General features: G+C 40.6%; 1 protein-coding gene across 18 annotated transcripts in view; it reads left to right on the top strand.

Moving 5' to 3' along the window:
- Window positions 1-15,841, top strand: part of RUFY3 (RUN and FYVE domain containing 3) — a 104,853-nt gene that overhangs the window by 3,722 nt on the left and 85,290 nt on the right. For 6 of the 18 annotated variants that reach the window (NM_001037442.4, XM_047449826.1, XM_047449829.1 and 3 more), the window contains exon 1: window positions 14,476-15,263. The exons of 11 other annotated variants lie outside the window; for them this stretch is intronic. In NM_001037442.4, the coding sequence (NP_001032519.1) occupies window positions 15,086-15,263 (178 nt within the window). In that variant the 5' untranslated portion in view covers window positions 14,476-15,085. Of the gene's footprint in view, window positions 1-10,069; window positions 15,264-15,841 lie in introns of those variants that run through there. One more of the 18 variants, XM_005265656.4, reaches the window with a different exon arrangement.

The raw sequence follows: 15,841 nt of genomic DNA on the forward strand, positions 1-15,841 counted from the left end.
ACTTACCTCAGCCTCCCAAAGTGCTGGGATTACAGGGGTGAGCCGCCGTGCCCAGGCGGTATGGTGTTTTTTGTTACCACGTAAGTTCTAATATTTCCTCATGGTCTTTATTTTTGAAATAGTTTATTGATGTGTATGTGTTCAGAAAAGTTACTGGGAATATATACGTGTCCCACTTCCTCTGCTTTTAAAGATTAGTCACTGAGAACATTTCATATTAGCAAAAAAAAAAAAATCACTATTACATGTTTTATTTAAATATAAAATTGATTCAAAATAGTTTTTTGTTTTGGACTGAGTTTTTGTTTTTACCTGTTACATTTATATGTGCTTTAGAACGTAAGCATACTTACAGAAAGGAACACTCTAGATATGAATAAAAAGTTCCTTGTTACCCTGCAGAGTCAATGGAATATTGCTTTCTGTAATGTATCTGGATATCAGAACTTTGATTCTCTTGACTACTCATTTAAGAAATTAGAGACCAGGCCAGGTGCTGGTGGCTCACACCTGTAATCCCAGCCCTTTGGGAGACTAAGGTGAAGGATCACTTGAGTCCAGAAGTTCAGGGCTGCAGTAAGCTGTGACTGCACCATTGCACTCCTGCCTGAGCAACAGAACGAAACCCTGTTTTTAAAAAAATAAAAATAAAATACATGAACACTTGAGACCAAACAGTTTTTGTTTTTTTATTTTGTGTTTTTGAGACAGTCTCACTCTGTGCTCAGGCTAGAGTGCAGCAGTACAATCTGGGCTGACTGCAACCTCTTCCTTCCAGGTTCAAGAGATTCTCCTGCCTCAGCCTCCCAAGTAGTTGGGATTACAGGTGCGCACCACCACCCCAGCTATTTTTTTTTTTGTATTTTAGTAGAGACCATGTTGGCCAGGCTGCTCTCGAACTAGACTCAAGTGATCCACCCTCCTCGGCCTCACAAGTGATGGGATTACAGGTGTAAGCCACCACACCTGGCCCCAAACAGTTTTTAAAAGACTTCTTAATTACGAGAATGGTACATGGACTCAACCTCAATGCCTAGTGAATATTACGATGACTGGCATCTGCCTCTTTAGCAACCCAATTTTTAACTCTCAGTAATGTATTTGCTAAAAGTATATAAAATATTATAGCTTTGAAAGACTGTGTATTAAGGTGGTATTATCTTTTTATTTTAGAAATCTTGAGTGTACTTAGAGGTTTTAAAAATTAAATTTTACATTTGAGTTCAGAAGCTCTGTTTTTAAATAACAGTGCTGAAGAATAGCAAAAATGTGTGAGACTGGAACGGTGGCTCAAGCCTGCAATCCCAGCACTTTGGGAGGCCTAGGCAGGAGTATCACTTGAGCCCAGGAATTGGAGACCAGCCTGTACATAAGCAGACTCTGTCTCTACAAAAAAAAAATTTTTTAAATTAAAAATAAGTTAGCTGGGTATGGTGGCACATGCCTCTGGTGCCAACTACTCAGGAGTCTGAGGTGGGAGGATGGCATGAGTCTGGGAAGTTGAGGATGCAGTGAGTCGTGATCACACCACTGTATTCCAGTCATGGTAATAGAGCGAGATGCTGTTTCAAAAAAAAGTTTGTAAATAGAAGGTAGCCTAAACTTTTCAGGGTTTGTCACATGAATTGTTTTGTTCCAAAATCTTGCAGGATATAATATCCATGAAATCAATCTGCTTCAATGCAGTGTGAAAGGAGACTTCTGATGTGCCTTGTTGAGGATTATGTCTCTTTCTGAGTCTTTGAGTGCTGGTAATCTGCTAGGTTTTTATACTTCTAACTTTAAATCTCATAAAACTCTCTGCCATGCCTTTTAAAATTTGATTTTATAAATGTACAAGTAATACATGAATCTATGCTCATTGTTTAAATGTTTCATAATACATAAGTACAGTTACAAAGTGAACTTTCCTCTTTGTGGACCTCCAGCACCCTCTCCCCGGTTCCTTATTGGAGGATGCCCACTTTTGAGTTTGGGGAGTTTTCATCCTGAACTTTTTCATGCATTTACAGACATGTATGTTTTTATATTTCGTGGTGGCTTTATCCTCTTGGTGTATGTATGACCTTCCATGCCAGTTTCTCAGCAACTACAATTTGTAAGGAGGATCTGCTTGCAGGCCATGGTGTAATACTTTTAATGCTTTCCTTTTCCATCCTGCCGTTAGAGATCGTCTTGTGAATGGACAGGATAGACAAAAGATGGCTTCCCTTTAGTGTTGGTTGGAAGAGTCACCCTGCTGTTTGCACAGTTAACAGCTTCTATTTAGTTATTCTTTTCTCCTTCCAACTCCCACAACTACGGCAAACATTGTTCAAGGCAATGCTATGCAAATAGCCCACATCCTTGCCCTTGTCTTTTCTCTCCCAGTTAAGGCAGTGTCCAAAAAAGTGTCCCACTCACCAAGTAGCAGCTTTCTGTATTTTTAAGTGCTGTTTTGAGATAGGAGGAAGGCTAGAAGAGGAATAGAAGAAAAAGAATCTTGAAAAGGACTGGCAGCGTTACTATGACTACCCACTACAAAGTTGAGTATACTTAACAGCGAGTGCCATGATTAAGCCCCGGATAGTGCAGAGAATGAGGTACCTAGAAGCCTTTGTCTCTGACAGATGCACTTGAAAAATCCATTGTATGGGGAAGGAGGTTCGAAATATACATGTAAACCCAGGAATTAGTGTTTAAGGGGAGAAAATTTATGCTTGCAGTTTCATTAACATATATACACACACAAGTATACAGATATGTATATATCATATATATTGCATGCATGCATGTATGTATGTGTAGATTGTATATGTGTTTGTGTAAAATATATATATTTTAGTTTTTCCTCTGTGGACATTTCTGTTATTGTCTCTCTTCTTTTTTAATTGTTTAGTAGTACTCTAGAAAACAGTAAAGGTCGGGTGCGGTGGCTCACGCCTGTAATCCCATCACTTTGGGAGGCCAAGGCAGGCGGATCACCTGAGGTCGGGAGTTCGAGACCAACCTGACCAACATGGAGAAACCCTGTCTCTACTAAAAATACAAAATTAGCTGGGCATGGTGACGCACACCTGTGATCCCAGCTACTCAGGAGTTTGAGGCAGGAGAATCACTTGAACCCGGGAGGTAGAGGTTGTGGTGAGCCGAGATTGCGCCATTGTACTCCAGCCTGGGCAACAAGAGTGAAACTCCATCTCAAAAAACAAAAAAAAAGAAAAAGAAAACAGTATACCTGGTCAGGAATTGAACACATGTTTTTTGTTTTATTTATTAAAATTTTTAATTTATATAAAGAGATATGTCAATGGGCCAGGCATGGTGGCTCATGCCTGTAATCCCAGCACTTTGGGAGGCCAAGGCAGGCGGATCACTTGAGGTCAGGAGTTCAAGACCAGCCTGGCCAACATGGTGAAACCCCGTCTCTACTAAAAATACAAAAAAATTAGCCAGGTATGGTAGTGCACGCCTGTAATCCCAGCTACTGGGGAAGCTGAGGCAGGAGAACCGCTTGAACCCAGGAGGCAGAGGTTACAGTGAGCCAAGATCCGCCACTACACTCCAGCCTGGGCCACAGAGCAAGACTCCGTCTGGAAAAAAAAAAAAAAAAAAAAAAAAAAAGAAGTATGTCAAAGAAGAGCCAAAGTGAAAATAAACAATTTTTTTAAAAAAGAGATGAGGTCTCACTGTGTTGCCCAGGCTGGTCTTGGACTCCTGGGCTCAGGTGATCCTCCTGCCTCGGCCTTCCAAAGTGCTGGGATTACAGGCATGAACCACCATGTCCGGCCTCAAGCACGTGTTAATCAGTTCACCTGCTGTATGCTTCTTTAAACTTTGAAAAGGCAAAAGTACTTTATTGTGTTTTGTAAACATAGAGGCGTCTGCCCAGGCTGGAACATATGAGGGAAATGGTCAAACTTTCAGAACCCCAAAAGATTGGGCATGGTTACCTTCATACTAGTAGTTTTGGAAACAGCAGAGTGATGTGTGACTTTTTAAAACACAGATTTTCGGTATTTTCAATGTAGATCAGTGTCCTCATTTACCATTCTGTGATTCATAAATCTGTTAGCCCTCTGCTCTTTTCCAACCCTGTTAAGAAGGCAGAGAGCCATTTTCTGATCCATTAAGTGCCTTTTGTCAAATAGTAGATAAAAAGCACCCACCCACATACAAACCTCAGAAATGTAGCATCTTTCCAAGGATGTGTAACTGCCAGAGATCTGGAGTTTAGGTGTTCAGTGTCTTGGTGCAGTTGGCTCCTTCCACACACAGCTGACATGACCTTGGACCTCCTGAGCTACTGAGGGACAGGTAGCTGGGTCATGCCCCCGTTTCCTTCCTCACGACTAAACACTCTGCTTGCCTTCCTGATTCTGCCTTTGTGAGCAGGGCTCCCTGAACTCTCACAGTTTGTCTTCCCAGCCAATTCTCCCCTTCTTTTCTGCCACCACCTTTTTGTTGCACCTATTCTTCTGGCCTGGCATTATCAAAAAGTCAAATCACGCTTTTTATTGACAGAACAACAATTTCAGAATATCAGATGTAATCTTTGAGTCTTTCTTTGGTTGCTCCCCTTCTGATAATCATAGACTCATTCTTTGTAGACAGAGTTTTCTTTTTTCTTCCCATCTTAGTTTTATTCTGGACACTAGAGAGTCCTAAAAGGCTCTTCATTATATAACAATTTTTTTTTGTAGTTCTGAAACCCAAACAATTACCAATAAAAGATGTGACTGTAAGATAATACTACTACTAGTGGCCACCATTTGTGGGATATTTTTGTGTGCCGTGCAGAGAGCTAGAAACTTCACATGTAATAGTACTTAGCACTTTTTTGAACTGAAGCCAGGGAATGAATTCATATTCCTCAATAGTCAGCCTTCAAAGCGCATGTTCTTAATCACTGTACGTTCCCTCACCACCAAGGTCTTAAAGAAGCTGGTTTGAGTGGAGAGCAGTAAAGGTTGCTGGGTAGGAGGGATAGCAGAGGAAAGGTGGCAAAGAAAGCAACTTTGGGGACTAAAAGACAAGTATTGGCCTCAAAACATATTCACTTGACTATATTCTGTCTTGTATCTTTTCCCTTTTTTAAAATTTTTCATAGAAATCTACATGTTTAAGAGGTAGGATTTTATCAAGAAGCTAAGAGACCATATTTTTCTAGTATGGGCTATAGATAGTAAAAAGTCTAGATGTATGATGATGGAAGTGTAGCAGAATAAACTGGATGAAATAATTTTTTTGTTGGCAATATTTTTCAAAATTCCTTAAATAATTAAAAGAACTAACTAAAAAATGGGCTGCCCCTTTATCATTGCACAATAGGCAACCTGTAGCCAACATAAATAAAAGTAGAATCCCATTTTTGATGAATTTTACAGGACATCACACCTATTACATGTCTACTCAATCCTTACTAATTTTGAAACACACTCCCTACTTTGTGAAGTGGCTCAGGTTATGAGCTGTAGAATTTGTTGTGGGAAGTCAGTAGCACACCGTAAGCATTAAAAAATTGGTTTGAAATTGTGTGAAAGGAAATTTTTTTTTGTTTTGTTTGCTTTTTTGAGATGGAGTTTCACTTTTGTTGCCCAGTTTGGAGTGCGATGGGGCAATCTTGCCTCACAGCAACCTCTGCTTCCCGGGTTTAGCTGATTCTCCTGCCTCAGTCTCCTGAGTAGCAGGGACTATGGGCATGCACCACCACACCCACCTAATTTTTGTATTTTAGTAGAGACGGGGTTTTGCCATGTTGGCCAGGCTGGTCTTGAATTCCTGACCTCAAGGGATCCGCCCGCCCCAACCTCCCAAAGTGTTGGGATTACAGGCGTGAGCCACCATGCCTGGCCAGGAAATGTTTTTAGAGTTACAAAGCAAAGCAGTGGTACTTGAGAAGGTAAGTAGCAATATGGCCATGCCCCCTACTGTATTTGAATAATTGTGAAAAGGTTCATAGTCTCCCTAAAACTTCTCAAGGCTGCTGGCCAAGGTGGCATTCCCTCTCTTTGCAAAGCCTTTTTTATCTGACATGCTCCCTACCGACCGGACAAGATACTCAGCTTTGTCAGAGGGAGTGGTGGGGCGGGGGTGGGAAAGTTTGGAAGAAAGGTGTGGGAACCTTATGATGTGTAGGAAAGGAGAGCCTGGCAGGCCAAGACAGCAAAAAGCAGGTGGAAAGCTGAAGTCGTTGTAGCATGTCGCCTTTTAGAGTGTGATTCTTCTAACTTCAGAGTCTGTTTAGGGACTCTCCACAGACATTTATCTACTTCTGCTGTCTTTTTTATGAACTTAGGAAATCTGATCACTTGAGGTGAGAATGCTTGGTAAAATTCTGACCCATCTCTCTTCCTTCCTCAAAATCTGAGAGATACCACTGTAACCCTCTGCTCACATCTCCTTTTTACTTTCCTTTGCCTCTGTCCCATAAACGTTTATCCTTACTGACTTTCATTTTATGTGTTGATAGGGTTTTTCCAGAACTCTCAAAGGAGAAGCACTTATCATAGTGCAGTTATGGTGACATTTACTTACTGCTTACTTTGTGCCAAGTGCCATGCTAAGCATTTAACTCCGAAATGGTTAATATTATTATCCCCATTTTGTTAATGTAGAAATGGGCACAGAGAAGTAACTTGCCAAGGTTACTCAGCAGCTAGGTGGTGGACCTAGGATTCACTGTGAGCATGCTGACTCCAGAGTCCACATGCTATGTCACACTCTTTCATCACCTCCCGTAACTGGAATCAGGTCCTAGATTAGAGGCACGTCTTCAGGCAACCAGCCCTCTGGTTCCATATTCTACTCACTAATGCCCTATTTACTAAAAATGAGTAAATTAATGAAACTCAAGAGTCACCAATCTGATAGAAAAAATGGTTGTATATGTAAAAAACGCTGAATAGGTCCATTTATAACAGACATTAAGACTTTCCTAAACACCTAAAATTGTCTGTTTCTTGTCTATTGCCTTGTTCTTTCTTCTGCATCCCTAGCATATGGGAGGTACCCTGTACATGTTGAGTGAATGAATCTGTTATGTACATGTAATGAAGCCAGTGTTAGACTGACCTGTTTGTTGGGGCATAAATATGGTTTGATTTTATAGAATTTGGGGGTTTTCACAATTGAAGTGAAACATGAGGGTGGAAAAATGCCATTGCAAGGCTATATACATATCTATACCAGCAAGTATCTATTGAGAGTCTGGTATTTGGTAGGTACTATTTTGAGTAGATACGTAAGAGGTATGCAAAATGCATATTTCTTTGGTGGAGCTTCTGGTCTTTGTGGAGCTAGTTATTTAGTTTCATTTTACAACTGAGTAAATTGAGGCAAGAGGAGGATAAATTTCCCAAGGTCACCTACTAAGTTTTTGATAGCTTTACGTCTGTGTAAATTATTGCCTACAGCCACTGAGCCATGAAATCAGTTTTACTTTTCAGGGTAGAGGTTATTTTTAATCTTATGCTGGTTAATTTTAACAAGTGAAAAGATGATGCATTATAATACTCCTGGTAGTGTTTGTTTCTAACAAAGTAATGATAAATCAACTTTCTGAGTATATCAGTTTATAGTTGTTGTCAACTTTGGTTAATATCTATAAAGTGACACTGAGCCTATGAAGTGTATAAACTTAAAATTGAAGAAATCTTGGAATCAGAGGTAGACATAATAGATTGTGGTTCTGGGAAAGGAGGTGGGAGGGTGTACTGGAGCATGTGAAATAATCATGATCATTGAGTTGAATAATCATATAATTTAACAGAAACATCTGGGCTTTCCACCAATGTCATCATGATGATGATTCATCAAAGATACCCTTTCATGGCTGGATGCGGTGGCTCATGCCTGTAATCCCCCAGCACTTTGGGAGGCCGAGGCACGTGGATCTCTCGAGGTCAGGAGTTCAAGACCAGGCTGGCCAACATGGCGAAACCCTGTCTCTACTAAAAAAACAAAAGTTAGCCAGGTCCGGTGGTGTGTGCCCATAATCCCAGCTACTTGGGAGTCTGAGGCAGTGAGGCAGAAGAATCGCTTGAACCCGGGAGGCAGAGGTTGCAGTGAGCCGAGATCGTGCCACTGCACCCTAACCCGGGTGAGAGTAACACTATCTCCAAAAAAAAAAAAAAAAAAAAAAAAAGCTACCCTTTCATGCTAACAGCAACTAGTGAAATAGGGGGAAAATGAGATTTTTCTTCTTAAATTATGAAACTGTGATTCAGGAAGCTGCCAAACAGAACTTTGTGAGCTTTACAAATTTAGTTGCACAACTTGACAAATTTTAGGAAGAAGTTTCTATTCTGCATTATGAAAATCAGAAATAACCCAGATGCCTACCAACATGAAAATGAATCAGAAGACCAGGCACAGTGGCCAATGCCTGTAATCCCAGCACTTTGGGAGGCCAAGGCGGGCAGATCACGAGGTCAGGAGATCAAGACCATCCTGGCTAACCTGGTGAAACCCCATCTGTACTAAAAATATAAAAAATTAGCCAGGCATGAATGGCATACACCTGTAGTCCCAGCTACTTGGGAGGCTGAGGCAGGAGAATCACTTGAACCCGGCAGGTGGAGGTTGCAATGAGCCGAGATCGTGCCACTGCACTCCAGCCTGGGTGACAGAGTGAGACTCCATCTCAAAAAAAAAAAAGAAAATAAATCAGAATGTGTTTTTGTTATTGTTTTTTTGAGACGGAGTCTCTCTCTCTTGCCCAGGCTGGAGTGTGGTGGCATGACGTCGGCTCACTGTAACCTCCGCCTCCTGGCTTCAAGCAATTCTCCTGCTTCAGTCCCCTGAGTAGCTGGGATTACAGGCACGTACCACATTGCCTGGCTAATTTTTGTATTTTTACTAGAGACGGGGTTTCACCATGTTGGCCAGGCAGGACTTGATCTCCTGACCTCAAGTGGTCCACCTGCCTCAGCCTCCCGAAGTGCTGGGATTACAGACGTGAGCCGCCGCGCCCTGCCGAATCAGAAATTTTTTGTACATGCATTGGAACACTACCTTGTAATACAGCAGCCAAAAGGATAAACTACATATGCACACTACGGTTTGGATGAATCTTAGAAAATACAGCATTGAAGGCCAGGTGCGGTGGCTCATGCCTGTAATTCCAGCACTTTAGGAGGCCGAGATGGGCAGATCACCTGAGTTCAGGAATTCAAGACCAGCCTGGCCAAGATGGTGAAACCCCATCTCTACTAAAAATACAAAAATTAGCTGGGCATGGTGGCAGGTGCCTGTAATCCCAGCTACTCGGGAGTCTGAGACAGGAGAATTGCTTGAACCTGGGAGGGGACAGGTTGCAGTGAGCCAAGATCATGCCACTGCACTCCAGCCTGTATGACAAGAACAAAACTCTGTCTCAAAAAAAAAAAAAAAAGAAAAGAAAAGAAAAAATACGCATTGAGTGAAAGGCTTAGAAAGTTTTATAGAGCATGAAACACTTTCTATAAGAAAGTTGAAAAAAACTGAAACTAAACATATTGCTTAGACCTTCATATATTTGTGACAATATTTTTGAAATAAGATAATGATTTACACGAAATTCAGAAGGTTACCTTGAAATGAGAGGCAGGAGTTTAGAAGCAAGAAGGAGCACATAAGTACATATGTTGGTCCATTTCTCCAGTTGAGCAAGGGTTTCAGGGATATTGGTTATATTCTTTAAGGACTTAAAATTATACATTAAGTTTGCTATTTTTAAAAAGCGTACAATGCATCATTTTAGAAAGTGATTCCCCCCTTCATTTATCTTTTTCTATTTTGGAATTTATCAGGTGTTCTTAATGTGTCCAACTAGTATGTAAATGTGGAGGGAACTCAGAGACAGAGTGGTAGTAGGGTGAACCAAGTACATAGTGGAAGCATTTTATCTACCCTTTGTGAGCCCATGACAGAAAAGTCCATACTGGGTTCTCAGTTTGTCAGAATGTGCCCACTTACTAAAAGCCTGAACTTAATATGTAAGTTGGGGGGCCTAGAGGAAGGTATGGGTTGTGCAGCATTAAGGTGTAAAGTATGGAGGCTGATAAAAAAAATTTCTTCAAATCTTAAATTTGTTGAAACTCATCTTTAGGAAATTTCATGAAGAGACTTTGCGTGTGTGTGTGTGTGTTTGTGTGTGTGTGTTTTAAATGTCTTTTTATTTTCTCTGAATAAAATTTAACATCCGGGGATGAGGAAGAGTTAGGATAGAGTGCTGAAGTTGCAGAGTGTAGAAGGAACATGGACTTTGGAGGTATCTAGACAGAAGTAGCTTGGAGTAACAGATCTGCTACTCGCTAATTGTGTGATTCTGGGCCAGTTACGTGGCTGAACTTTGGTTTCATTGTGTATAAAGAGAAGGTATCAATCTCTGTTTTGCAGTGCTTTTGTGAAGACTTGACATGGTATTTTTTTTTTTTTTTTTTTTTTTTTTTGAGACAGAGTCTTACACTGTTGCCCAGGCTGGAGTGCAGTGGCGCGATCTTGGCTTACTGCAACCTCCGCCTCCCGGGTTCACGCCATTCTCCTGCCTCAGCCTCCTGAGTAGCTGGGATTACAGGCACCCACCACCATGCCCAGCTAATTTTTTTGTATTTTTAGTAGAGACGGGGTTTCACCGTGTTAGCCAGGATGGTCTCAATCTCCTGACCTCGTGATCTACCTGCCTCGGCCTCCCAAAGTGCTGGGATTACAGGCGTGAGCCACCGCACCCAGCCCTTTACATGGCATTTGTAAAGCACCTAACAGAAAATAGAAATTTAATAAATGATAGCTATTTTAGGTAATTTTTCCACAATATATAACAGAGACATTGAGCCTGTCAAGTTAACCTTTGTCTTATAGTAGCAGCCGAGTACAAATATCCTTTAAGAGGAATGTAACTTCTGACTTTGAAGTGTGACTCTTATTTGCTTTGAATCCATCATAATGTGGAAAATACAGACTGTTTAAGCAGCTAGAACGTAGTATTTTTTGGATCTTCATTTTGGATTTGAACTTCACACAGGCCTATTCTTTTAGGGCCACAGACTGAACTCCCACCCGCCTCACAACCATCTTACAAATAGGTGCCATTACTCACAAATGGGATCAAATGAGAAAATAGTTCAATACAGCTCATACAGTAATTACTCTGTATGTGAGAAAAAAAATCAAGGTTTGAATATCTTACTGATGGCTTAACTTTAACTTCATATTCAAAGCTAAGATGTTTACTTAGTAAAGACCAAAATGTAAAAACGGTACTAAGCAATATCTAAAATCTTTTTTTTTTTTCTTTGAGACGGAGTTTCACAGGCTGGAGTGCAGTGGTGCAATCTCACCTCACTGCAACCCCCGCCTCCCAGGTTCAAGCGATTCTCCTGCCTCAGCCTCCAGAGTAGCAGATTACAGGCATGTGCCACCACGCCCAGCTAATTTTGTATTTTTAGTAAAGATGGCGTTTCTCCATGTTGGTCAGGCTGGTCTTGAACTCCCGACTTCAGGTGACCCGCCTGCCTCAGCCTCCCACAGTACTGGGATGACAGGCATGAGCCACCGTGCCCGGCCGTAGAATTGTTTTTATAAGTTTCTACAAATAGCACTGTTTTCATAGTAACTTCTTTGCCTGTGAACAATGGATAACTGTTCGTGCTGAAGACTCAATGGTGTTTACCTAAAGAACAGCGTAGAAGTACAGTTTTTCTTGCCCACCCCCGGGTCTTATTTCTGAAATGGCTGCCAACACCTCAAACTGGTAGATCTGGGAAATTCAAGGATACCAATACAGGCATGTTTTTCTTTCCTTGCCAAAAACTTTAGTTGTTTTGGGCTTGCCTCTCTGTGTCCTCTACCTGGAGAGAGGCAGGGTGGGATGGATCTTCCGAAGGAATGTTAATCAAGTTTCTTGCTCACTAACCTTGATGTTCCTGTTGTGTTGGTATGTTGCAATCAATCTAGATCTGTTCAAGTTAGTAAATGCTTACTGGGGTGAAGAGATTGTTGTGGTTTGTGACAAGGCCAAATTCAGGTTTTGGACCCCAGACAATCACATGGCATTCGGATTTATTCATGTATTCCTTGTTCTGTTTTAAGAACATATCAGTGATCTAGAGTTTTGATATCACACATACAGATAGCTAGGGCTGTTTGGAGTTGTGGTTCCAGGAATGTCCCATGTAATTTGAAGGTTTTAATGACTACTTACTATGTTTTGAAGTATTGCATGATATAAAGTGAATCTATAAACTGTCCCCTTATTAATATATAATATGGGAATATTTTTGGCTAGAAAGGAATTGAACTGAATTAAATGAGAATGTGTTAAATGAAGGCTTGTGTTCAGTATTTGGATATGAAAATTCTGTTTCCTGGAAAAGGTGTTTCTGTCTTACTGCTGCGTGCCTAGTGCCTGGATCACTACCTGGCATGTGGAGCACCTCTTAGTGAATATCTGTTGAATGAATGAATGAATGAATGGCTCTGAGTCTAGATGTAGGGTAATGATGAGAGAGAATGAGATAGAAATAAAACCAGGAGTATTTTGCTTTCCTTAGTAACTTACTGATTTTCCCCAATTATAAATAAGCCTATATATATGCCTTCTTACATTGTACCAGTATACCCTCCTTCTTTTTTTTATTTTGAGACAGGGTAGAGTGCAGTGGTATGATCTCGGCTCACTGCAGCCTCTGCCTCCTGGCCTCACGTGATTCTTCCACCTCAGTCTCCCAAGTAGCTAGGACCACATGTGCGCGCAACCATACCTTGCTAATTTTTGTTTTTGTAGAGATGGAGTTTTGCCATGTTGCCCAGGCTGGTTTCAAACTCCTGAGCTCAAGCCATTCACCTGCCTCAGCCTCCCAAAGTGCTGGGATTACAGGCACATGCCACCACATCTGACTAATTTTTGTATTTTTAGTAGAGATGAGGTTTCACCATGTTGGCCAGGCTGGTCTCGAACTCCTGACCTCAGGTGATTTGCCCGCCTTGGCCTCCCAAAGTGCTGGTATTATAGGCATGAGCCACCGCGCCCAGCCATCCGCCCTGTCTTCGTAACAATATGAAAATGCCAGTTTCTCTACAGAATTTGATTATTAGCATTTTTTTCTTTCAGTTCAGTCTCAAATTATGATGAAGCATTTGAGATTTTAACAATATTCAAGGAGAATTTTTTTAGTTTTCAGAAATTAGGTAAATCAAGATGTCCCTCTGATAACAATCCCTAGAAAGGAATAGTCTCAGGTCATATTTCTTGAATTTGTATGTTCCTCCTTAAAATTGGAACCCTTCAATACAAAAACAAACAAACACTTTCTTTCAATTGTCCAAAACATTTTCAAAGAAAATTCTTATTCTTCTCTTTGTAATTTATGTAGTTCATAAAGCAAGTACCTGCCCTTTTGCTACCAAGGTATAAATGCCTCATTGGATAATATAGGGCCGTGTGTGTGTGTGTGTGTGTGTGTGTGTGTGTGTGTGTGTGTGTGTATTAAGAAAATATAATTGTCTTCAGTATCTTATCGAATGGGAGGATTTTAAAAATATAACATGGTTTAATCTGCTTAGAAACATATTTCATGCTTAAGGCTGGGCATGGTGGCTCACGCCTGTAATCCCAGCACTTTGGGAGGCTGAGGTGGGAGGATCATGAGGTCAGAAGTTCAAGACCAGCCTGGCCAAGATGGTGAAACCCCGTCTCTACTAAAAATACAAAAATTAGCTGGGCGTGGTGGTGGGTGCCTGTAATCCCAGCTACTCGGGAGGCTGAGGCAGAGAATTGCTTGGACCTGGGAGCTGAGATCACGCCACTGCACTCCAGCCTGGGCTACAGAGCAAGACTCTGTCTCAAAAAAGAAAAAAGAAAAAAAAAGAAACGTATTTTATGCTTAATACAGAAACTTGATAAATACAACAAAATCAAAAAGGGGGGAAATTGCCATTAATTGGGAAAGATTTTACTTTTTTAACTTGAAGTTTTTTTTTTGCATTTCTGCCTAACCTAAAAGGTCAGGTTTTTGTACCTTGGAGAAGGAAATTATAAATGCCCAAGAATAAGATATTTAAATTGAAAATCTACTTTAGCTTTTCTTTTTATCTTTTTGTTTTTTTTCCCTCTGAGAACCTCAATTTTTTATGCTTTAGCTTTTCTTAAAACATAACATTTAGCATAGTAAAGAATTTTAATAGCTATGTAGATAAGAATGAAAGAGGTGAATTATATGCTTGTTAAATTAATCTAACTGCCTCTTTTACCATCTTTACTATAGATTATTATCCGGTATTAATTGTCATCCTTTTATTCAGTCCTTGATCCCAAAGTAAGAAGAATTGATGAGGATATGTGCATTGTGTTATGTCTGATCACAGTTTGACTAGCACAGTCTGGAAGTGGGTTGTACAGGATGAGAGAGAGAAGCCTAATTGCTCTCCCAGCATCAGCAGCATCTATAAAGCATCCTGGGAATTGCTTGCCCTACGTTCAGAGCAGCTGGTCACATGAGCCTGAATTTTCAGTTCAGTTCATTAGTCAGCCATTTTGGTCAACACCCTGCTTACTGCGCACGGCCAATCCTATGAGAACTCAGCATCCCAGCTCATCTGAGCAGATCCTGGAAGTGATTTCTGCAGCTCAGGATTTTTTTTTTAAGCTACATTGAAAATATAGGTTTATTTTTTGTTCAGGTTTTTCTTTTATATTTTTTTTCTGCACAAAGGAGGAGGATTTTTCACTTACTCATATCGAGGCCAGATTTTTAAAGCCAGCTAAGGCAGCATCAGCTGTGCGGGATTTAAAGCCTATAGCTCAGCTGAAAAAAAAGGTGGGGGGCAGGGAAGGGAAGATAAAAGGAGAGGAAGCTGGGAGAAGACAAGCATCATCTTATTTTGCTATGTGGTAGGAACTGTCTATAAGATAGTGTAGAATTGTTTATCTTGAGCAGTTTGTTCTTAACCTATAAGGTATTTTTCCTTTTTTTTTTTTTTAAACCTCCCCCACCCTTTTCCTGAAAGCTTTGTTTCAGAGCTTTGTATTGGGTTTTTTTGGTGAGGAGGTTGTATTTATTTTTTTGGTGTGTGTGTGTGAGTGTGTGTGTGTCTGTGTGTGTGTTGTGGTCCCAGCTGAGTCATCATGTCTGCTCTGACGCCTCCGACCGATATGCCAACCCCCACCACTGACAAGATCACACAGGCTGCCATGGAGACCATCTACCTTTGCAAATTCCGAGTGTCCATGGATGGAGAATGGCTCTGCCTGCGAGAGCTGGATGACATCTCACTTACACCTGACCCAGAGCCTACCCATGAAGGTATGGTCAGATCCTGTCCGCTAGTATTTCACCAGCATCCTCATTGTTATGGGGGAGGGCTGGGAGGATCAGGGAGAGGTAGAAAGAACCTACACTCTCAACTGTTAACAGTCCTGAAAACCTTGCATCCTTACTTACCACCCAGCTCCCCTTCTCTTGCTCATGGGGGAAAGATAATTTTTTTTCTTGCCCCTTTAGGTATCCTTTCAAAAGATGCTGGATACTCGTTTAGAGTTCTTTGTCTTTAAGCCTCTAAATAAAACATTTGAGGTCACTTATCACATCTGATTCTATTCAATAATGAGAAAGCTATTAATTTTGTTCATATATGAAAATGTTATAGAAATTGTAGTGATTTATAACACTAAGTTAAGACAACATGACTATAATTATAGGATTGTACATGATGAATACAGTAGAAACACCAGGGTATTTGGTAATGGTATCCTCACCATTATATGAGGATACAATTTTAAGCAAGTTATGACATCTAGGAAATGTTTGATAAAACATTTTTTTAACAATATGGATTATTAGGTTAGATGAGAAAATAACTTTTCAGCATTTATTTATTGAAT

Source organism: Homo sapiens, chromosome 4 (genome assembly GCF_000001405.40).
Source record: "Homo sapiens chromosome 4, GRCh38.p14 Primary Assembly".
NCBI classification, from domain to species: Eukaryota; Metazoa; Chordata; class Mammalia; order Primates; family Hominidae; genus Homo; species Homo sapiens.